This window comes from Homo sapiens, chromosome 11 (assembly GCF_000001405.40).
Source record: "Homo sapiens chromosome 11, GRCh38.p14 Primary Assembly".
NCBI lineage: Eukaryota > Metazoa > Chordata > Mammalia > Primates > Hominidae > Homo > Homo sapiens.
The window spans coordinates 7,706,489-7,729,938 of NC_000011.10; the positions used below are offsets into that span (position 1 = coordinate 7,706,489).

Sequence of the window (23,450 nt, forward strand, 5' to 3'; positions counted from 1 at the left end):
AAGTTTATTCATTAACCAAGACGTGGTGAATCAAGCATGTCCATCTGATGTTTCTGAATGTAGTGTTTCGCAAAGATCTTTTGGAAGATGTGGAGAAACAACCACAGAAGCAGAGTCTTGATCAAGCAATATTACATATCCTATTACACCTACACCAATTAGTTGATTCCTCCAGAGTGTATCTGGCTAGCAAAGTGGTTAGCATGTAAGATTTGCATCTGCAAACATTACTTGCTCCTTTGTAGAGCTTACCACTTTTACCACTTTCTATAAGAAGATTGACTATCAATGTTGTCCTTGTTTGCAAGGGTACACTTCCCTACTTTTTTGCAAACGACCCATCCAAATGTATATAATTTTTTTGGGCAGAGATGGAGTTTCATCATGTTGCCCAGGCTGATCTCAAACTCCTGGGCTCAAGGGATCTGCCTGCCTTGCCCTCCCAAAGGTCTGGGATTACAAGTGTGAGCCACCACGCCCAGCCAATATTCTAAAATATTTTTATTTATCTTATTTTGCAAATGTAACTACATGGTTATTATAAACATATGTTGGTGAATGAGAGAAGTGGAAAGATATTTGGGTGTCACACTCAGGAAGCCCTGCTGTTAGAAAGTCATCTAGGATACTGTACATTGGGGCATTTGTGACTCTGCATTCTCCTATCATTTTTGTATTTATAGAAGGGAAACACTAAATCTCCTTTACTTCTATGCCTGGTAGATGCTTGGGAGAGTAAAGTGGCTATGATTACCTGTACATTTTCCTCTTTCCTCAACGAGTTTTGGGCACATGGTCAGTGTGTGAGAAATATTTATAGGATGGTCAATGCCATCTATGACCAGATAGAAATATAACATTTTTCTGTCAACTTTTATAAGTTACCCACTAAAAATAACAAATGTCAGCCCAAAAGCTCTTAATTTCCTTTTGGCAACTTTTGTCTTTGTACAAAAAAGTATGAAAATACAACACATACAAATAATATAAATGCAAAACAGAGAAGGTGTAAAAACTTAACATTTGTAAGCACTACATATTTAGGTACACTAATCAAGAATGTAGCCTTATGGAAAGAAGGAAACTCAAACCTCTATTGAGGCTTTATCTATAACTACTGTAATCCTGATGCCAAACATTTTTGGCTATTGGTATGGAGTGATAGCCCCAAGAGGTAATCAATCAATGTCTAAGCCCTAATCAAAGTCTCAATCTTTCTTTGACAGCAAGCTCCCTTTAAATTGCTATTGTGTTTTATCAATCACTTTTGAGAGCAACTTGACTAGGAATATGGCCTTTCTGACCCCAAATTCACTACATTCTGTCTAAAATGTGTATACTGTTAATGTCAAAAGTGCAGAAAGACCTAGTGTGGGCCTAGGATGCACTAAACTTGACAAGCCTAAAGTAGGCACATAGCATAGGACAATAAAATTTGACTCTATACTGAAAGAATGATGAGTTTTCCTTTGTAAAATGTGGGAGTGGAGCGTTTTTATTGATTGTCACACAGAAATATGATGAGCTCTTGCTTAGTGCTTAATTTCAGGAGAGGGTATTTGCTTCAAGCTCTTGCATCAGCACAACTATCAGTACACATCAACACACTCTTCACCACATGAAGCTGGTCATTAAGAGTTTGTTACTTTCATCTCTTAAGGGGCTAAAATGTGGCCCCCTTGCTGTTAAAATATTTGCTCTTCATGGGGGATGTAGCAGGTTCTAAGACACTATATTTTTGTAAGTCCAGCTATTCAACCCTCCCAGGGTCTGGATAGGAATTATAATAACTGTACATTGTAGTTACTTGCAGACAGGAATATATTAAAGTGTTGCTTGGCATGGTAGTATAAAATCAATTTTTCATTCATGAAACTATTAAACCTTTTAAAGGGGAAAAAATCTCTCTTGAGAATCTTGGACCAAAGTCTGCACCAAACATGGATTTGGAATTCAAATACATTGTTTTCCCTGTCTGTAAATCCCCAAGTTGAGAAATTAGTATCAAAATTTCTCCTGAAAGCAAAACTGTCTCTCTTCACAGATGATATGATTCTATACCTAGAAAATCTCAGGTCTACCTGTTATAACCTTCTTCTCTCTTTTTTGCAGCAATTATTTTTGTTGAAAGAATTGGTTATTTAGACCTTTAGCATTTTCTACATTCTGTATTTTGCTGATTGCAGAGCTGTGACTTTAATGTGTTCCTATAACCCTGTGATATAATCCATAGCTAATGATTATAACTTCTGTATTGTACCCTCCAATGAAAAGAGAACAACTCCAGTATGAGCAATCTCTCTCTGTCTTTTCAGATTTTTCTGTCAAAACCTTTCACCTTCTGACAGACCTCAGAACACTCCAACTTTGTTGCTGTGTCTTCCTGGGTCAATCCACACATTTGAGGTTCAATAAACCTTTATAGATTTTTTTCTGTCTTGACAGCCTCAATTTTGGTCAACAGTGCCATAAACACTCATCACCAGGAATGTTCTCAGCCACCTCCAGTGGCCCAGAGAAAGTAACAGAATGTACTGTCTGGTAGAGAGTCCCAGGAGTTGGGTTTCTGGACCTGTCTGCTTCTCATTCTCCCTGAAGTTTCCAGCCACCTGGAATTGCCCTGCCCCATGGGCCCAAATACCCCCTCACATCTCCCTCCCAGGGGAAAACACCAACTGGTTCTTACTTGGAATAAATTGGAGTGGGTCTACTCCAGAACTTTTTCAGCAGTTTTCTCCTAACAGGCATGTTAGGTTGTGGTTCTTTCCTTAATTGAATTCCATCTACTTTTTATCGTTCTAGAAATATTCATAATTTGGGGCCACTAAAAGTAGCTTTCCTTGTTCAGGTTTTCCAGCACTGCTATGAGTTCATTTGTTTAATACATCCTTCTTATCATAAATTTGGAGCAGGAGCAGGAGGACACACCGTATGGTCTCAGGCTGCCAACTTAATCCAATCGCTAAGTGGGAACCACTGAATCCTCCTTTATAAACACCTTGCATATTCCCTGTTGCAACTAAGAGATGACACTAAAGGTACATGCAAGGTAAGTTGAAGTGTAAAATAATTAAGAACAATCTGAGAATGCCTCAAGGATAATCAAAAACAATAAGGGTATTTTTAAAAATAAATTTTAAAAGGGAAGAGATGATTTGGAACTGAGGGATGATATGAATCATGCAAAGGAAGGATCACTTTGCCCCTTCTCACTGTTTGAGTCTTAGAATAGAAATGGGAGTACTCCAGAAAGTGGTTTAGTTATACCCAGGAATTTCAGCGATACTGGAGAAAGGAAGAGTGGGGAAAGTTCCTATACATACTAAGCACAGGAGATAGATAGCAAAGAAACAAACTTAGGCAAAAGTGAGCTGGCCAGAAATGAGAGGGAACAGAAGGGAAATCGTGTAGGGATTTGCCTGAGTCAGTGTTGGCAAAAGCAAAAAAATTCACACACAGGTATGAAGAAAACAGGAAAATAGGGGAAAGGAAACAGGAGTCTGTTTGGAAAAGATACAATTAGCCCCCGTATTCTTGTTGAAAACTTGATGTGTTATGCTTCAGTCTCTGTAGTTTGTCTCCAAGATACTAGCTTTTATGAAGACAAAATTTTCATGGTATGACGGAGAAAGGAAGTTAGCAGGAGATGTAGATGAGTGAGAAAGCCAGAAAAAAAGAAGTAGTTTAGGACAATAAAAAAGTTATCTCCAACAATTATGAAGTGGTGAAGGAGGCCAGTTGAGAAGATAAATCGAGCAAGTGCATCTTTCTTTCTTTTGTGTCAGTTTTGAAGCTAGTGATTGGTAGGAGCCAAAAAGAAAAAGAAAAAAAGGGATCAAGTTTCAGCTTTCCACATATGGCTAGCCAGTTTTCCCAGCACCATTTATTAAATACAGAATCCTTTCCCCATTGCTTGTTTTTCTCAGGTTTGTCAAAGATCAGATAGATGTAGATATATGGTGTTATTTGACCCAGCCATCCCATTACTGGGTATATACCCAAAGGACTATAAATCATGCTGCTATAAAGACACATGCACACGTATGTTTATTGCGGCACTATTCACAATAGCAAAGACTTGGAACCAACCCAAATGTCCAACAATGATAGACTGGATTAAGAAAATGTGGCACATATACACCATGGAATACTGTGCAGCCATAAAAAATGATGAGTTCATGTCCTTTGTAGGGACATGGATGAAATTGGAAATCATCATTCTCAGTAAACTATCGCAAGAACAAAAAAACCAAACCCCGCATATTCTCACTCATAGGTGGGAATTGAACAATGAGAACACCTGGACACAGGAAGGGGAACATCACACTCTGTGAATGTTGTGGGGTGGGGGGAGGGGGGAGGGATAGCATTGGGAGATATACCTAATGCTAGATGACGAGTTAGTGGGTGCAGCACACCAGCATGGCACATGTATACATATGTAACTAACCTGCACATTGTGCACATGTACCCTAAAACTTAAAGTATAATAATAATAAAAAAAAAAGAAAAAGAAAAAGAAAGACAAAATTGGACCAAATCCTGTGGTCTGCCAGAGAAAAACAAAAAGCACGCAGAAAAAGTGACAAGGGCTTAGATGATGTGATAGCATGATAGAAAGGGTAGGGGATCAATAATTTTTAAAAAAACATAAACTGAAATCAAGACTCCAACACATACTAATAGTGTAGCCTTGGGCAAGTCCATCAAGCCATTAGATCCTTGTATTCCTCATACGTAAAATATAGATAACAGCATATTGGGTAATTCTTTGGTAGTTAGTGGAATGATACCCATGGGGACTGTTTAGACTGTGATGTGTTACATGACTTCATAATAACACTAGAAAAATTAATCATCTTCGGAAGACGCATGGGACCAAAACTAATGACTATTCAGTAGTCTTTGGAAGGATTGATAAAGAAAAATAATCACTGGGTATGGTGGCTCATGCCTATAATCCCAGCACTTTAGGAGTCTGAGGCAGGAGGCTCACTTGAGCCCAAGAGTTCAAGACTGCAACCACTGCACTCCAGCCTGGGTGACAGAGATACTGTCTCAAAGTAAATAAATAAATAAATAAATAAATAAATAAATAAATAAATAAATAAATAAATGAAAGAAAAAAGAAAATGGAGCCAGCATTTATAGTAACCTTCCTTTCCTTTCCCTTTCCCTTTCCTTTTCCCTTTCCCTTTCCCTTTCCCTTTCCTTCCCTTCCCTTCCCTTCCTTTCCTTTCTTTTCTTTTCTTCTTTGTTTGACGGCATTTCGCTCTTGTTGTCCAGGCTAGTTTAATGATGTGATCTCGGCTCACTGAAACCTCCGCCTCCCAGGTTCAAGTGATTCTCCTGCCTCAGCCTCCCAGGTAGCTGGGATTACAGGCATGCACCACCACACCCGGCTAATTTTTGTATTTTTACTAGAGATGGGGTTTTGCCATGTTGGCCAGGCTGGTCTCGAGCTCCTGACCTCAGGTGATCCACCTGCCTCGGCCTACCGAAGTGCTGGGATTACAGGCGTGAACCACCGCACCCGGCCGGTAATTTCCTGATGATTTAACTAGCAAGGTGGGCAGTGGTAAGAGCAGGATGAGAGGTAGCTAAAGATATGCTAAGATTCTTATCTAATTTAAAGTCAGGATTTATAAACAAATTAATTATAGACATTAGTAGAAAATGTAAAAAAAAGTGTTAGAACCTTAAGAGTTATGACTACTGGAAGAATAGAAATATGATGCATAAATTCCATAAGATTAGATTATAAGTAGTGAAAAGAAGGAAAGAAGGTTGATTCAATTTAAAGGAAATAATGATAGGAAAACAAACAACAAAAACAACAGTGACAAAGAAAGCATGGTAAATAGAAAACAAAATTATGCACAATGACAACCATTAAGCTTTTTTAAAAAAACAAAATTAGTTACATTATAATAGATCATGTTATTCATTGTAAAAATGAGTAAGTTCAATACTATTAACAGTTTAAGCAGTGAATAAATTGCTTTCAGATGATTCCTGGTGGGAAGTAAATTGGCAATGTTGCTTTTAAAGGTTTTATTAAAATGAAAAGTGGCATTCACAAAGAAGTCATAGCAGTCTTAAACATTTAAATACCTAATAACACAATGTTGAAATATTTAAAGAAAAATCTGATAGGAGTATGTGAAACTGAAAAATGTACAATCATCATGCAAGAGTTTCAGAAATTGATAGGTCAAATAAGTAACAAAAAAAGCCTGATCTAATAGATTGTTAACATAAAGCACTATGAGTTAAATGGTGCTAATTTTCTTTGAGGGCAATTTGGCAGAATCTGTTATAATTTAAATTGTGCAAACCTTTTGACCCAGGAATACTTCTGAGAGAAATGCTGGTACAGTGAAGCATTGGTTGGAGTATAGTTAAGTAAATACTAATGCAATGCTTTCAAAATGCTTTCATTAAAATTGTGAAGGATATTAATGCATACATGGAATTATCTAAAAAATATTTTTGAATTATAAAAGCAATTTTAGAACAATATAAATGGTAAAAATCGCTTATTAAAAACACATGGAAATTAGGAACAAGGAAGAGAGTCTTGGGTTATCTGGAAAGACAGCACTGGATTACAGATAAATATAGAGTGGAAAAAGGATGAAGTATCTTCAATAACTGGATCTCTATCTGAAGAGTCCAAGATTTTGGGAAAAAAAGTCTACATAAGTGGAGTTGAATTGAAACATAGGTCACCTTCATGTGGGGAAAGCATTATGGCTCTTCATGCAACTAAGATGCAACTAATTATGTAAAAAAAAACAAGAAAATGCTAAAAAAAGTTCCTGGTACCTAGTCATAGCTGCTTCTCAGAGATGGTACAGATGAGTACAGCATAGCCCACAATAATTATGTTGACCCAAATCAAGTTTCAAAACTAATTAGATCTATGCAGTTATAATAACTGTATACAAATAATGAAGAGAATTAATGAAACCCCTTGGATCTTAATGAATTATCTCAGCCAGCATAATTTCCTATGAATACATAAACACGCCTAATTGTCTCAATCTTATTGGATTTTCTCCATTGGATTTTCAATAAGATGTTGACAAACCTGTGCAGGTCTGGTGTTGAGGTACTTTTGGTCTTTTATTCCAAATGGTCCCAAATCCTGCAAAAATAAACCCTGCTGCACAGAGATGATTCCTGGAGTTTGTCATTATCTTTGGCAGGCAACATTCGTTCTTTATTATTGATATATAAATGCCCTTTGCATTGCTAGTGGAAGCTAATAGTTGCAATTTTAAGTAGATTCTTATTTATGGATTACTCATTCATTGCCATCCATTGCTAGGTGTTTTAACATAAATCATTTTATTTAAAATAGTGTTCATGTGAGATAAACATTATTATTACTGCATCTCAATTTTAAAAATAAGAAAAATGAGACTCAGAGGGTTACGTAACTTTCCCAAGATCATTTAGTAAGTGGCAGAACTGAAATTTATTCATATAAATTTTGGCTGAAATCTTCTTTTCTTTCTTAATATTTTCTTTTTTTTTAAGTTTTTTTTTTAACTTTTATTTTAAGTTCAGGGCTGTATGTGCAGGTTTGTTACATAGGTAAACTTGTGTTATGGGAGTTTGTTATACAGATTATTTCATCACCCAGGTATTAAGCCTAGTATCCATTAGTTATTCTTCCTGATCCTCTCCCTCCTCCCCCATCCACCCTCCACCCTCCAATAGGCCCCAGTGTGTGTTGTTCCCCTCTGCGTGTCCATGTGTTCTTACCGTTTAGCTCCCACTTATAAATGAGAACATGCAGTATTTGGTTTTCTGTCCCTGTGTTAGTTTGCTAAGAATAATGGCCTCCAGCTCCATCCATGTCCCTGCAAAGAACAACACTGCATTCTTTTTTTATGGCTGCATAGTATTCCATGGTGTATATATACCACATTTTATTTATCCAGTGTATCACTGATGGGCATTTAGATTGATTCCATGTCTTTGCAGTTGTGAATAGCGTTGCAATGAACATATGGATATATGAATTATAAAATTATAAAGACACATGTCTGCATAAATCATTTATATTTATATATATGATTTATATTCCTTTGGATATATACTCCGTAATGGGATTGCTGGGTTGAATGTATTTCTGCCTTAGGATCTTTGAGAAATCCCCACACTGTCGTCCACAATGGTTGAACTAATTTACATTACTACCAGCAGTGTATAAGCATTCCTTGTTCTCCACAACCTCACCGGCATCTGTTATTATTTCTTTTTAATGATAGCCATTCTGACTGGTATGAGATGGTATCTGATAACAGTTTGCTTCTGTGCCCTCACCCAAATCTAACCTTGAATTGTAATAATCTCCACGTGTCAAGGGCGAAACCAGGTGGAAATAATTAAATCATGGGGGTGGTTTCTCCCATGTTCTCATGATAGTGAGTGAACTCTCACAAGATCTGGTGGTTTTATAAGGGGCTTTCCCCCTTTGCTTAGTACTTCTCCTTCCTGCCACCATGTAAAGAAGGATGTGTTTGCTTCCCCTTCCACCACGATTGTAAGTTTCCTGAGGCCTCTTCAGTCCTGTGGAAATGTGAGTCAATTAAACCTCTTTCCTTTGTAAATCACCCAGTCTTGGGCAGTTCTTTATAATAGCTTGAGAATGGACTAATACAGTATCTCATTGTGGTTTCAATTTGCATTTCTCTAATGATCAGTGATGTTGAGCTTTTTCTCATATGATTGTTGGCTGTATGTATGTCTTCTTTTGAAAAGTGTCTGCTCACATCCTTTGCCCACCTTTTAATGGGGTTGCTTGTTTTTTCCTTGTAAATTTCAGTTCCTTATAGATGCTGGATATTAGACCTTTGTCAGATGCATAGTTTGCAAAAATTTTCTTCCTTTCTGTAGGTTCCCTGTTCACTCTGTTGTTGGTTTCCTTTGCTGTGCAGAAGCTCTTTCATTTAATTAGATCACACTTGTCAATTTTTGCTCTTGTTGCGATTGCTTTTGATGTCTTCAATATGAAATCTATGCCTGTGCCTATGTCCTGAATGGTATTGCCTAGGTTGTCTTCCAGGGTTTTTATAGTTTTGGGTTTTACATTTGTCTTTTATCCATCTTGAGCTAATTTTTGTATATGGTTATAAGGAAGGGGTCCAGTTTTAATCTTCTGCACATGGCTAGCCAGTTATTCCAGCACCATTTATTGAATAGGAAATCGTTTCCCCGTTGCTTGTTTTCGTCAGGTTTGCCAAAGATCAGATTGTTGTACGTATGTGGTCTTATGTCTGGGTTCTCTATACTGTTCCATTGGTCATACCTCACATATCATACTGGTTGGTACTTATATCATGTTTTGAATTCATTTGGGTCTCTAATGTATTTTTTTACATAAATATAAGATTTTTTCCAGATTCATGTTTCTTAACCCTCTGATAGAATCCTGGGACTAATTAACGGAGTCAGAGATTTAGCATTCTTTCATTATTTTATCAAGTTAATTTATATGAAGAATTGATTAAATCACATTGATTTAAGAACTGCTTCATAGAGTATGTTTGTCATATTCAGGTTGACAAAGAATAGAGTACTGATAGTTATTCACCAGTATAATTTGTAGAGATATTTTAAATGTTAAGATCTTTCAAAAAGTAGCAAATATTTCATTTGGCCATTCAGGGGACTTACACATGAGCAATCCTTTTCCTATAGAAAGTAATGACATACCTTCTCCCTCAATGGCAGCCTTCTGATACTTGATAGTACTTCTCAAGTATTACTTGGTAAATGATAGAATTTTTTATTTGGTAGTATTTGCTAGTTCTTTTATTGTTTGACACTTGCTTTTTCAGTGGGTCTGACTTTCTCACTTGGATGCCAGGATGTTAAGATTAAACACTGTAAGTAGTTGCAGATTAACTGAGCTCATTCTCTTGAGGCTGAAATTACCTCAAAACTATAGGTAGTTGCAGATGAGCTCCCTCTCTTTTAAGAAGTTCAAAAGGATATTGAGACACAATAGAGGGTGGACACTGGACTGTGAAAACGTAGTTACTTCAATGATTGGTGCTTCCAGTGAGACCAAATACATTTTGAATGGACCTGGAGGTGATACTCAGAGTGGGGTGTTTGAAATTGATGTGATGAAGTTGGTAAACTTACTGACAATGACAAAGTCTGTTCCATGACCATATAAATGTGTGTGAAGAGTAGAAGTCTTTTCCCTCTTTATACTTCTTTGTCTCTTTACCCTTTCCCATTTATAATATAATTGTGTCTTAAAAGTTATCTCTACTTATATTGAGAACCACATCAGACAGTGTTATAATTTTGGCTATGACAATAAAAAACAATTTAGAAAACTTAAGAGGAGTAGAGAAATGTATTTATCTATATGTTTACATCTCCTGTTTTATTTTCTTCCTTCCTGCTGTTTCAAGATTCCTTCTTTGATTAGTTATTTTCTGTTTTGAGAACTTTCTTTAGCTATTCTTTTAGGGTAGGTCAGCTGGTGATAAATTCTGTTAGTTTTCCTTCATCTGAGAATGTCTCATTTCCCCTTAATCCCTGAAAGATACTAGCTAGATAGAGAATTCACACTTGACCGTTTCTTTCCTTTGCAAATAAAAAACTTTTCTTTTGACCTCTGTGATTCCAGGTGAGGAATCTGCTGTCACTTGAATGGTTTTCTGCTGGAGGTAAGGTGCCATTTCTTTTTCACTGCTTCCAATTGTTTTTCTTTGTTTCTAATTTTTAGAATTTTGATTATGATGTATTTAAGCGTGGATTTCCTTAGAATTATCCTGTTTGGTGTTTGCTGAAAATTTATTAAATGTATGGGTCTTTGCTAAATTTGAAAAATTGTAAGTCATTATTCCTTCAGCTTTCATCATTTTTCTCCTCTTTTTCTGTTGCTTTGATGACATAAATGTTAGATCCTGTATTATACAGGTTGAGTATCACTAATCCAAAAACCTAAAATCCAAAATACTACAAAATCTGAAACTTTTTCAGTGCTGACATGATACTCAGAAGAAATGCTCACTGGAGCATTTTGGATTTTAGATTTTCAGATTAGGGTTGCTCCATTGGTAAGTATGATGCAAATAGCTTTCTCTAATTCTGTGAAAAAATGACTTTGGTAGTTTGATAAGAATAGCTATGTGTAAATAGCGTTGGGCAGAATGTCAATTTTAATAATATTGATTCTTCCAATCCGAGAACATGGATTTTTTTTTTTCCATTTTGTGTCTCTAATTTCTTTCAGCAGTGTTTTGTAGTTCTGCCTATAGATATCTTTCATCTCCTTGGTTAGCTGTTTTTGCTAAATTCCTTCATCAAGAAATTAGAAAGATCTCAAGTTAACAATCTAACATTGCACCTAGAGGAACTAGAATTTTTTTAAAAGCCAGCCCCAAAGCAGAGAGAAGAAACAAAATAACTAAAATTAAAGAAGAACTGAATAGGATTAAGATGGAAAAATCCATATAAAAGGTCAATGAAACAAAAAAATGATTTTTGAAAGAATAGACAAGATTGATAGACCACAAGTTAGATTAACAAGGAAAAAAGAGAAGATCCAAATAAGTACAATCAGAAAAGACAAAGATGACGTTACAATAAATCCCACAGAAATACAAAAGATCCTCAGAGACTATTATGAACAACTCTATGCATACAAACTAGAAAATCTAGAGGGAATGGATAAATTCCTAGAAATGTATAACCTCCCAAGATTGAGCCAGTAAGTAAGTGAAAACTTGAACAATCAATAACAAGTTCCAAAATTGAGTCAGTAATAGAAAAAAAATCAGCCAAAAATGTATATTTGGTTCCATATGCAAAATTCATATGGAACCAAAAAAGAGCCCAAATAGCAAGAGCAATACTATGCAAAAAAAAAAAAAAAAAAGAATAAAATAAAATAAAAACCCAGAGGTATCAAACTGCCTGACTTCAAACTATACTACAAGGCTACAGTAACCAAAACAGCGTTGTACTGATACAAAAACAGACATATAGACCAATGGAACAGCATAGATAACCCAGAAATAAAGTCATAAACCTAAAACCATCTGACCTTTGACAAAGCCAACAAAAACAAGCAATGGGAAAAGGACTTCTATGCAATAAATGGTGCTGGGATAACTGGCTAGCTGTCTGCAGGAGAATGAACCTGGATCCTTTCCTTTTACCATATACAAGAACTAACTCAAGACAGATTAAAGACTTAAATGTAAGACCTCAAACTACAAACATCCTAGAAGAAAACCTAAGAAATAACCTCTCAATATTGCCTTTGGCAAAGAATTCATGGCTTAGTCCTCAAAAGCAATTGTAACAAAAACAAAAATGAACAAGTGAGATCTAATTAAACTAAAAAGCTTCTGCACAGCAAAAGAAACTCTTAACAGAGTATATAGACAACCTATAGAATGGGAGAAAATATTTGCAAACTATGCAAAGTGATGAGAAATAGAAGCAAATTGGACAGTGCTAAACAGTGACATAAAGTCAATCACTTTGGCCATTCTGATTCTCATCAGAGTCTCAAAAACATCATTGTTGTAAGTGTTCATTCAAAAACCTGAATTGATCAAATGATGCAAATGTGAGTGCTAACCATATTCTAAACTGAGTCACTGTTTTCTTTTCTTTCTGTCTTTATTTATTTATTATTAATATACTTAAGTTTTAGGGTACATGTGCACAATGTGCAGGTTAGTTACATATGTGTACCTGTGCCATGCTGGTGCTCTGCACCCACTAACTCGTCATCTAGCATTAGGTATATCTCCCAATGCTATCCCTCCCCCCTCCCCCCACCCCACAACAGTCCCCAAAGTGTGATGTTCCCCTTCCTGTGTCAATGTGTTCTCATTGTTCAATTCCCACCTATGAGTGAGAATATGTGGTGTTTGGTTTTTTGTCCTTGCGATAGTTTACTGAGAATGATGATTTCCAATTTCATCCATGCCCCTACAAAGGACATGAACTCATCATTTTTTATGGCTGCATAGTATTCCATGGTGTATATGTGCCACGTTTTCTTAATCTAGTCTATCATTGTTGGACATTTGGGTTGGTTCCAAGTCTTTGCTATTGTGAATAATGCCGCAATAAACATACGTGTGCATGTGTCTTTATAGCAGCATGATTTATAGTCCTTTGGGTATATACCCAGTAATGGGATGGCTGGGTCAAATGGTATTTCTAGTTCTAGATCCCTGAGGAATCGCCACACTGACTTCCACAATGGTTGAACTAGTTTACAGTCCCACCAACAGTGTAAAAGTGTTCCTATTTCTCCACATCCTCTCCAGCACCTGTTGTTTCCTGACTTTTTAATGATTGCCATTCTAACTGGTGTGAGATGGTATCTCATTGTGGTTTTGATTTGCATTTCTCTGATGGCCAGTGATGGTGAGCATTTTTTCATGTGTTTTTTGGCTGCATAAATGTCTTCTTTTGAGAAGTGTCTGTTCATGTCCTTCGCCCACTTTTTGATGGGGTTGTTTGTTTTTTTCTTGTAAATTTGTTTGAGTTCATTGTAGATTCTGGATATTAGCCCTTTGTCAGATGAGTAGGTTGCGAAAATTTTCTCCCATTTTGTAGGTTGCCTGTTCACTCTGATGGTAGTTTCTTTTGCTGTGCAGAAGCTCTTTAGTTTAATTAGATCCCATTTGTCAATTTTGTCTTTTGTTGCCATTGCTTTTGGTGTTTTAGACATGAAGTCCTTGCCCAAAAGTCTCAGGATACAAAATCAATGTACAAAAATCACAAGCATTCTTATACACCAACAACAGAAAAACAGAGAGCCAAATCATGAGTCAACTCCCATTCACAATTGCTTCAAACAGAATAAATACCTAGGAATCCAACTTACAAGGGATGTGAAGGACCTTTTCAAGGAGAACTACAAACCACTGCTCAAGGAAATAAAAGAGGATACAAACAAATGGAAGAACATTCCATGCTCATGGGTAGGTAGAATCAATATCGTGAAAATGGCCATACTGCCCAAGGTAATTTATAGATTCAGTGCCATCCCCCATCAAGCTACCAACGACTTTCTTCACAGAATTGGAAAAAACTACTTTAAAGTTCATATGGAACCAAAAAAGAGCCCCCATCGCCAAGTCAATCCTAAGCCAAAAGAACAAAGCTGGAGGCATCACACTACCTGACTTCAAACTATACTACAAGGCTACAGTAACCAAAACAGCATGGTACTGGTACCAAAACAGAGATATAGATCAATGGAACAGAACAGAGCCCTCAGAAATAACGCCACATATCTACAACTATCTGATCTTTGACAAACCTGAGAAAAACAAGCAATGGGGAAAGGATTCTCTATTTAATAAATGGTGCTGGGAAAACTGGCTAGCCATATGTAGAAAGCTGAAACTGGATCCCTTCCTTACACCTTATACAAAAATCAATTCAAGATGGATTAAAGACTTAAACGTTAGACCTAAAACCATGACTGTTTTATTTTATCTCATTTCTTTCTTTCTTTCTTTCTTTCTTTTTAGATGGAGTCTCACTGTGTTGCCCAGGCTGGAGTGCAGTGGTGTGATCTCAGCTCACTGCAACCTCTGCCTCCCAGGTTCAAGCGATTCTCCTGCCTTAGCCTCCCAAGTAGCTGGGATTACAGGCATGTACCATCACACCCAACTAATTTTTGTATTTTTAGTAGAGACAGGGTTTCACCATGTTTCTGGTTTCAAACTCCTGACCTCAAGTGATCTGCCCGCCTCAGCCTCCCAAGTGCTGGGACTACAGGCATGAACCACTGTGCCCAGCCTTTTCTCCCATTTCATTAGTTGTCTCCTTTTTCTGCTGATTTTTCCCTTTGCCATGCTGAAACTTTTTAGTTTTATGTAATTCCATTTATCTATTTTTGCTTTTGTTGTTTGTGTTTTGGGGGTCATATCCAAAAACTCATTGACCAGATCAATGTCATGGAGATTTTCTCCTATGTTTTAATCTAGTAGTTCTAGAGTTTTAGGTCTTATGTTTAAGTCTTTAATCCATTTGAGGTAATTTTTATATACAGTGTGGGATGAGGGTCTCTCCCCAGATTTGGGAAGTTTTCAGCCATAATTTCTTACAGGAAACTTTTTGCCCCATTCTCTCCCTCTTTTCCTTTTGGAACTCCCCTAATACAAAGTTAGCTCTCTTGAAGTGTTCCACATAGCCCAAAGACTTCTTCATTTTTTTATTCTTTTCCTTTTTTCTCCTCTGATAATTTCAAATGACCTGTCTGATTTTCCTGATTTTTTCTTCCTCTTGAGTGAGTCCGCTGTTGAAGAACTCTATTGCATTTTTTAATTCAGTTATTGTATTTTTAGCTCAAAATTTGTTTCTTTTAGTGTTTTCCTATCTCTTGAATTCTTATTTTTTTATTTTTTTCCTTATTTTGTTAAATTGTTTATCTGTATTCTTTTCTAGTCCCTGAATTTCATTAGAACAATTATTTCAAATTCTTTTTCAGTCAACTTGTGGATCTCCATTTTTTTGAGGACAATTACTGGAAGTTTATTGTGTTCTTTTGGTGGCGTCATGTTTTCCTGATTCTCTGTGATTCTTGTAACTTTGTGTAGGTGTCTATGCATTTGAAGAAGCAGTCATCCCCTCCAAAATTCATGAACTGACTTTTAAAAGTAAAGACCTTCACCTGCAGGGGGCTAGACCTACTGGAATGAATGAGGTACCAAATGAAGGGGCATATGGTGACTTTGGGTCTCAGTGTGTATTGTGTCTGATTGACTCATATAGCTGGGGTTGGCAACCTCGGTAACTATGTGGTCCTTGGTGATGAGAGCTGAAGAAGGGCCATGGTCACTGTGAGGTGCTCCTTCAAGTTGGTGAAGTTTCACTCCCTACCAAACATGAAAAAGACAAAAGTGGTAGAAAAGGGCCCAAAGCAGGAGTGTGACATTGCAGAATACAAAACAGACAGTGGTTCAAGATGGGAGAGGGTAGGTACTGTTGATAGTTCATTATTTTGTTTTTGTTTTTGTTGTTGTTTTGTTTTTCACTATCTTTAGTCACTAGATATACTTTATTATTTTTAAATTTTGAGTGTGTATTAAAAAGTATAAGCAGTCTTTATTCCTGTGTATTTATTAAGACTGTTTTATGGTAAGTTCTGCAAAAGCAGAACCTTACCAATTCAAATGCGTGTGATTTAGTAAAAGAGTGATCTCAGGAGAAAACTAAGAGTGAGAGAGAAGCAGGACAAAGCATGGGAATATGCCAGAGAAAGGTGTGGAGTCAGCTGAAAGTAGCTTCAGTCTGATTCCCCAGGAAGTACTGGAGCATGATTGGCACTTTGGAGTGGTTCTAGCTTGCAACAATAGGACATTTCTGCCATTGTTTTAAAATCACCATAGCATTCCATTTTTGGCTATGGGCCACCCTGGGTGTGAGGGCATGCACTCCCATCTATTTCCAGTCACTTATCTTCCTTTTGGCTAAGAGCAATTCTCAAAAGAGAGGTTTATATATGTTAGAAGCTGGCTCTCGAAGAAGCTTGGGGATGTATTTACTGCTCTGGTAAGGGAGATCCAGGAAAGTCAGTAAAATGTCTGCTTAGTTTCAACAAGTCTTATTTATTATGTACAGCTACCTACACTGTTACACTGACTCTGTTAGTATTGATATTCTGGTACCCAATGCAAGTTACCCAAAGTAAGTGCCTCCCGTTATAGAATTCCTTCTTAATGACAACAATTTCTGTCTCAGTTTTTATACATTATGCAAGCTAGGGGTTTCTTGGATGATGTGGCATTTGTTCTGAACCTTGAAGAATGAGCAAGATTTCGGTTGGGTAAAATCAAGAACAGAGATTTTTCAGACAGAAGGAACAGAAAACAGAATGAGGAAAATGCAGAATTTGATTAGAATATAGTGCATTGGTTTGCCTGAAGTATTGAGAGGATGAGAACAGATATTGGAGACAAGACTTGATAATACATTAGGTAGAAGATTGTTACAGATGGCAAAGACCCTGAGGGACAATCTGATGACAGGGGCAATTCGAAGCCACCTGTGAATATTACAGATGGCAGTGCAGTAACTGGAGGTTTGGATAATAGTGGATATTCCTTTTCAGCAAGGTCTTCTACAGCAAAGTTGTCCCATGAGAAAAAAAAATCACAGTGATCATACTGTGTGTTTGTTTTCTTCTTGCCTTCCTTCTTTTGTTTCCCCAGGCAATAGCGTCTAATGATGACCCATTCCCTTGCCCTGTGAATAAGGTTGAAAAGACCTGAAAGACCTCGCAAATTTTCAGAATCATAAAATAAATGCTATTGTGCAGGAAGTAAAATACGCCCAAAGGCATCCTCTACTTTCTAAGGTATATTTTTAACAAGTTGAATTTCAATCATTTCTACTGTTATTCAGAAGAACAGGAGCAAATATCATTGAAAAGCTCCTATGGTGTGTGAGGATTTAAGAAAACATATTTGTGAGCATCACAGAGTGATATAGAGGTCAAGACTTGTGGTATCTAAATCAGTAGTTGCAAGATAGTGGTCTCAGTGGTCCCAGGACTCTCATTAAAATCTTCATGGTTCTGAGCTCCATCTCCAAGAAATGAAGACAACACTACCTTTTATGTATAGGTGACTCTAAATTCAGAGGGGACTGATCATAGGCATTCAAGGGGAAAAGTTGCTTTAACACTTATCCTTGAATGATAAGTGAAATGACAGGAAGAACTGCAGAAAGCCGCACCTGAGTTGTGAGACTGTACATTATTCCTACAGCTTAAGTACTTCATGATTTTAAGAAACTGGAAGGTGATTCTCCTTCTTTAGAAGGTAGGAATTTTAGAGTTTGGGGTTTTTTTGTTTTACTTTTTACAATGTACATAATTTCATTCTATATGTTCTAATAATCAAGTATCTGTGGGTGTTTATAGCCTGTTAGAAATTGAAGTATTTTGAATATTCTACTATTCTTCAGTAGTATTGAAGAAACTATGAGCACAGACAGCTGGAAATTAAGAATGTTGTCTGTTTCTTATTGTTGGTAAAGACAGAACCCAGAAAACTGCATGAGGAGGGCTTTGAAGAACTAAAAACAGAGACCAGGATGGCAAACTCAAGGCAAAAGCCAGGTATAGAAAGAGGGTAAGACTTGGGCAAACCAAACAGAAAGGCTGACACAATGTTAGGGGCATCTTGTTCGCCAGAAGCTGCCAGGGTCATTGGGAAGGAAGCAGGTAATGTCATATGGACATACCTTTTGTCATTACTATACTTAAATAACGAGGAAAGCAGACTTTACCATCAACATATGTGAAAAGTATCACAAAAGTCAAATGCTCCCAACCAACATCACTGAGAAAGATTGCGCAAACTATACATATCCTGATAACCTGGAGATTTTCTCCTTGGAGATACTTGCCAATAACTTGTGGGTGTGTGTGTATGTGGAAATATATTCTTTGATAAAGCTCTCCTAGTGATTCTAATATGACCATTTATAAGTCAAGCATGATTTAATATTATAGTAAATAAGGGGAGTGTCTAGAATGTAAAAATGATAGTTTCTTTCTCCTAGGCTCTAAGAAACCACTGCTGAAGTTTTCAGAACTTGTTTGTTTGTTTTCGATGTTATTCAACGTTCATTAGTGCAATTAGGCAAGCATTTAGAAAGCACCTATTGCATTCACATTGCTAGGCGACAAGATACTTAAAATCCACTTAGAAAGCAGCCAACTATCTTTAGTGCATGTCTAAATAAAATAAATGCGAAAGAGCTCAAACAATGTATTGGGGAAGAATTAATAGATGAATTGAAGTAATAATCATGGAATAATCATGGAAGGCTTTCTGAAGAATATGAGATCCTATTTTATCCTATAGCCATTGAACTAACCTTAGTCAAAGCCAACATTGCGCTCAGCTTAGGCTGAAAGTTGGGGGAGACAAAATTTTACACAGGTCTTTGTCCTGTCTAGTATAGAAGCCAAGCTTGTAAAAAATGTCTTATTACAATAAAATGGTATCTGAATCTAAAAGGTGAATAACATAGCTAGGCTAATTTAGAGAGTCTTCTGAGAAGTGATAAATTTTCATTTTGAGAAAGCTATGTTTTTAGGAGGCAGACAAGGGCAGGAAAGACATTGCAACTTAGAGAAAATAACATGGATATAGTAGATGAGCCCCAAAAGGACATGCTGTATTTGGGAAATAGTGGGATGTTTCTTTTGTAGGAGAAGTTGGCGGTAGGAAATGAGGATAGACAGGTAAGATCGTGAAGCCATGCTAGGTGGAATTCCCCTTTGAATCAACTAGCTAAACATGTAGTCCTCTAGACTCTCACTGCCTTGCTGTAAATATGTCACGCACGTACATTACCACCTATCTCACTTTTGGCAAATCAGGTACCTCTCTGAGCCACAATTTCCTAATTGCAAATAAGGTCATTGTAATAGTACTTATATGTTAGGGTAGCTATGAGTATATACAAGACTGTGTAACCAAAACATATAATAAAGAGTATAGGTTATTAGTATCATCTAGCTTGTAGGCAAAAGGGATCCAAAAGACATCTATAATGAGGAGACATAGCATGGTCACAGGTGTGACATAAATAAGCTGGCAGTAGGTGAAGGATAGAACTGGGAGAAGGAGATACCATGCTCACCCTATGGGACAGATACAGGGCAACAGCAGAGGGGCTAAAAAGAAGGTTAAGATGTTGGAAAACAGATATCTGGAATTTTGGAAGTAACTCATTGGGGTAAAAGATGTGGAAGGAATAAGAAATGCAACCTAATGGTAACTCTCCAATGTCTGTAAATAACTCAAATAGGAAACACAGGAGGAAAACCCGATATGTAAGGGAATATGGCCAATTTTGCTCTAAACATCTGTATTCAATACTTGGAGGACATTCTGGAATTGGAGATGTCCCAGAAGAAATTGGAGATCCTTTTTTGACAGAGGCTGAAATTGGAGATCCTTTTTTGACAGAGGCTGAAATTGGAGAGTCATACAAAGTAAGTGGTTCTGAAACAATAAAAATGGGAAAGATTTTCCTTTAGAGGTAAATCATCTGAGAAACCTTCAGAGGAAAGAGTCTGTGGAGGAGTAAACTAAAAAATAAACAATATGAGTCTTGGTTGAAGAATGCTTGGGTATATTTGTTTTCCACCTAAGGGTCTTTGTGTTATCTGTGCTTTGTACCTGCAGTATTCTCCCCCTGATCATCATATATTGTTTACATATTGTCACTCTATTCTCCATTTAAGTGTTTCACCTCCTCAGAGAGGGCTTTCAAATTCCACAAACGACAGTAGTTATGCACTCTCACATCACAGAAATCCTACATGTCTGGTTCCATGTTGTGCTTCCTATGCATACAACTGCTGGACACATTATTGGCATCTAGTCAATATATATGGAATAAATTCATGGCCTTTGATAGTCGTGTAACCACTCCCTACCTTGCTTTCACATTTTGTAAAATGAAAACAAAAATTCTTCACATAGCCTTGTAAGAATTACATGAGACAGTTTTGTCTAATCCTAGCATATTGTCTAATACATTATTGGCATTGAGTAGGTGCTGGTTACCTGCCCTGACTCTTCTTGTATTCTTTGCCTGTAAATGCAATGCACATAGAAGACAACTCCTCAACTAACAATACAATTGTTTTGTCTTATTTTGTCATTAGTCTTGATGAATCTTTCAAAATAATTTCAGCCAGTATTTCTTTTTTCTCTCCCAGCCCTTCATTCTCATACCTGCTTCCTCATTTCTTTCCCTCCACCTTTAACCGTGACTGAAATTAAAATAAAAATTCTATGAAGAGTCTTCATATCACTTTTCTGCCCTCATCTCCTAAGCAGATTATATGTTGAACAATCAAAATAGAAATATTACTGGCAAAATTTATCTGAGGAACTTGATTTAGTTCTTTTCAGGCTTGTTGCAAAGCAAACTACCTAAGTACATTAGCTGGCAAATGTTCTGGAGGTTCTGCTAAAAACACAAAAATTGATCAGAATATGACATTCTGGAATGAGTCAGTATCTTCAAAATTATATTAAATCTAAGTTAGTCCATTATATTATATTAGACACTTCAAAAAATGTTCAAAGAACTTCAAAGAGATGTTAAGAACTTAAAAATTAATGGTATGTCTTAAGAACTATTGTAATAAAAAAAATTGATATTGCATGTCTCAAGCTTTAATTATTACCACATATAGAAACCCAGAAGATAAAACATGTTAAATTGATTTGTCTGCTCTAGTTGTTGACATAAATGTCACCCTCAGAACCACTACACTTTGGGGAGCACTGATGAAGATAGGATTGCATTGAAAGAAACGCGAATGTTCTTTTGGAAATATTTACTGATCTCTCAGAATTTTCTAAGTGTTTTATTAATTTTAAATGATGGAATTATTTTATTCATTCAATCAACAGTTTATTTTAAGCGCCCATGAGTGCTAGGGTACCGCTAAATCACAAAAAGCATTTGATAAATATAGCATCTCAAAATCCAGTAGGTGAGATCAAAAAACTTTCATTCATATTTTGTGTCTTCCTTGCAGATCCAGAATGGAGAAAAGAGAGATAAACAGTGCTTTTGGGGTAAAATCCAGGTATAGGTATTTGGGCCCACTCTATGTCATCTATACATATTATCATATTAGAATCATTCTTCTCTTCACTCAGGCTCCTGACCTTGACCTCTTTCCAGGTGCATTTAACTCCCTTTCCTCAGGTTCTCTAAGAGTTGCCTGACACTTGCCCAGGTCCCCTGAATAAAATACAGGTAAATCAGTGCATAAGAAGCTTTATACAGTGATCTCAGACTTGTGACCAAGAGCCCCTCTGCACCATTGATAGACAGTGGCCGTGCCCACCAGGAGGATGGGCAATCACACTGCAGTGAGCCTATTCCTTCTGTGGGGATTTTCCAGTTTTTCAGACCTGCAGAGTCTACTTTTTGTGGTGATTCTCTTCTACATGTGACCATCCTAGCTGCAAACGTGTCCATAATGGGGGCCATCAAGCTCAGCCACAACCTTCACACTCCTATGTACTTTTTCCTCTGTGGCCTGTCCTTTTCAGAAACTTGTACCACTGTGGTAGTAATCCCTCGCATGTTGGTGGACTTTCTATCAGAGAGCAAGACCATTTCTCTTCCTGAGTGTGCCACACAGATGTTTTTCTTTCTGGGCTTTGCATCCAACAACTGTTTCATCATGGCCGCTATGTCCTACGACCGCTACACGGCCATCCACAACCCACTGCAGTACCACACCCTTATGACAAGAAAGATCTGCTTGCAGATGATGATGGCTTCTTGGATGGTTGGGTTCCTGTTTTCTCTGTGCATCATCGTCACTGTATTCAACTTGTCTCTTTGCGACTTGAACACTATCCAGCACTATTTCTGTGATATCTCACCAGTGGTCTCCCTTGCTTGTAATTACACTTTCTATCATGAAATGGCTATTTTTGTGCTCTCTGCCTTTGTGTTGGTGGGCAGCTGTATTTTAATTATGATTTCCTATGTCTTCATTGTGTTCATAGTCATAAAGATGCCCTCTGCAAAGGGGAGGTCTAAGGCCTTCTCAACTTGCTCCTCCCACCTCACTGTTGTGTCCATACACTATGGATTTGCTTGCTTTGTCTATTTGAGGCCCAAGAACAGCAACTCCTTCGATGAAGACATGCTGACGGCCATGATATATACAATACTGATGCCTCTGCTTAACCCCATCGTGTACAGTCTGAGAAACAAAGAAATGCAGATAGCCCTAAGAAAAACACTAGGCAGTGTATTTGGGGTTTTCCCTCAGAAGACAAAAAAAGAGCCTGAACATTTAAAAAAATTACACAGCATTGATAAATAAAGGTGAGAAAAGTGGAGTACTTCTAATTAATATCACTTTGTGCACAAAGTGGTTAAAGTATTGTCTAATTTCCTGATATGTCCTGGCCTCACCATTTTCCTACTACAGAGAGGATGCAGTTTTAAAATGTTTTTAAATGTTATGTGTGTGTGTTTATGTGTGTGTGCATGTGTGTATGTACACATATCCATTCAGGGTACATATTGCTTTAGAACACTGTATTTTAATGATAGCAGTTGCTTTTTGGGAAGAAAGAAAATTATGATACTAAAGACAGAAAGACAGCAAGGAAGAGAGAGAGAATGTAAGGAAGGGAGGAAGGAAGGAAGGGAGGAAGGTAGGAAGGGAGGGAGGGAGGAAAGGAGGAAGGGAGGAAGGGAAGAAGGAAAAGAAAAAAATCGAGTTGACTAGTATAATTAATCCGAAAAGAGGGAGAAAGTACAAACACAAAAAGTTGAAAATGAAAATGAGGATGTGATTAAAATAGAGAAAATTAAAAGCAATTTAAGAGAATACTTTGTTCAAATTTATTCAAACAAATTTGAAAATT

General features: G+C 37.0%; 2 long non-coding RNA genes and 1 pseudogene across 2 annotated transcripts in view; all 3 read left to right on the forward strand.

The window, feature by feature from the left end:
- The window catches only part of LOC105376533 (uncharacterized), a 44,608-nt gene extending 30,029 nt beyond the window's left edge, over positions 1-14,579 (forward strand). The window contains exons 9-11 of the long non-coding RNA XR_007062576.1: positions 2,913-3,049; positions 10,661-10,700; positions 14,541-14,579. This is a non-coding gene — a long non-coding RNA (uncharacterized LOC105376533). The remainder of the gene's footprint in view (positions 1-2,912; positions 3,050-10,660; positions 10,701-14,540) is intronic.
- Positions 14,580-15,473: 894 nt separating this feature from the next.
- On the forward strand, positions 15,474-20,350 carry LOC124902626 (uncharacterized). The gene is made up of 4 exons (XR_007062580.1): positions 15,474-15,718; positions 17,226-17,371; positions 18,055-18,136; positions 19,840-20,350. It is a non-coding gene; the product is annotated as an uncharacterized LOC124902626 (long non-coding RNA).
- OR10AB1P (olfactory receptor family 10 subfamily AB member 1 pseudogene) lies at positions 21,913-22,850 on the forward strand (annotated as a pseudogene).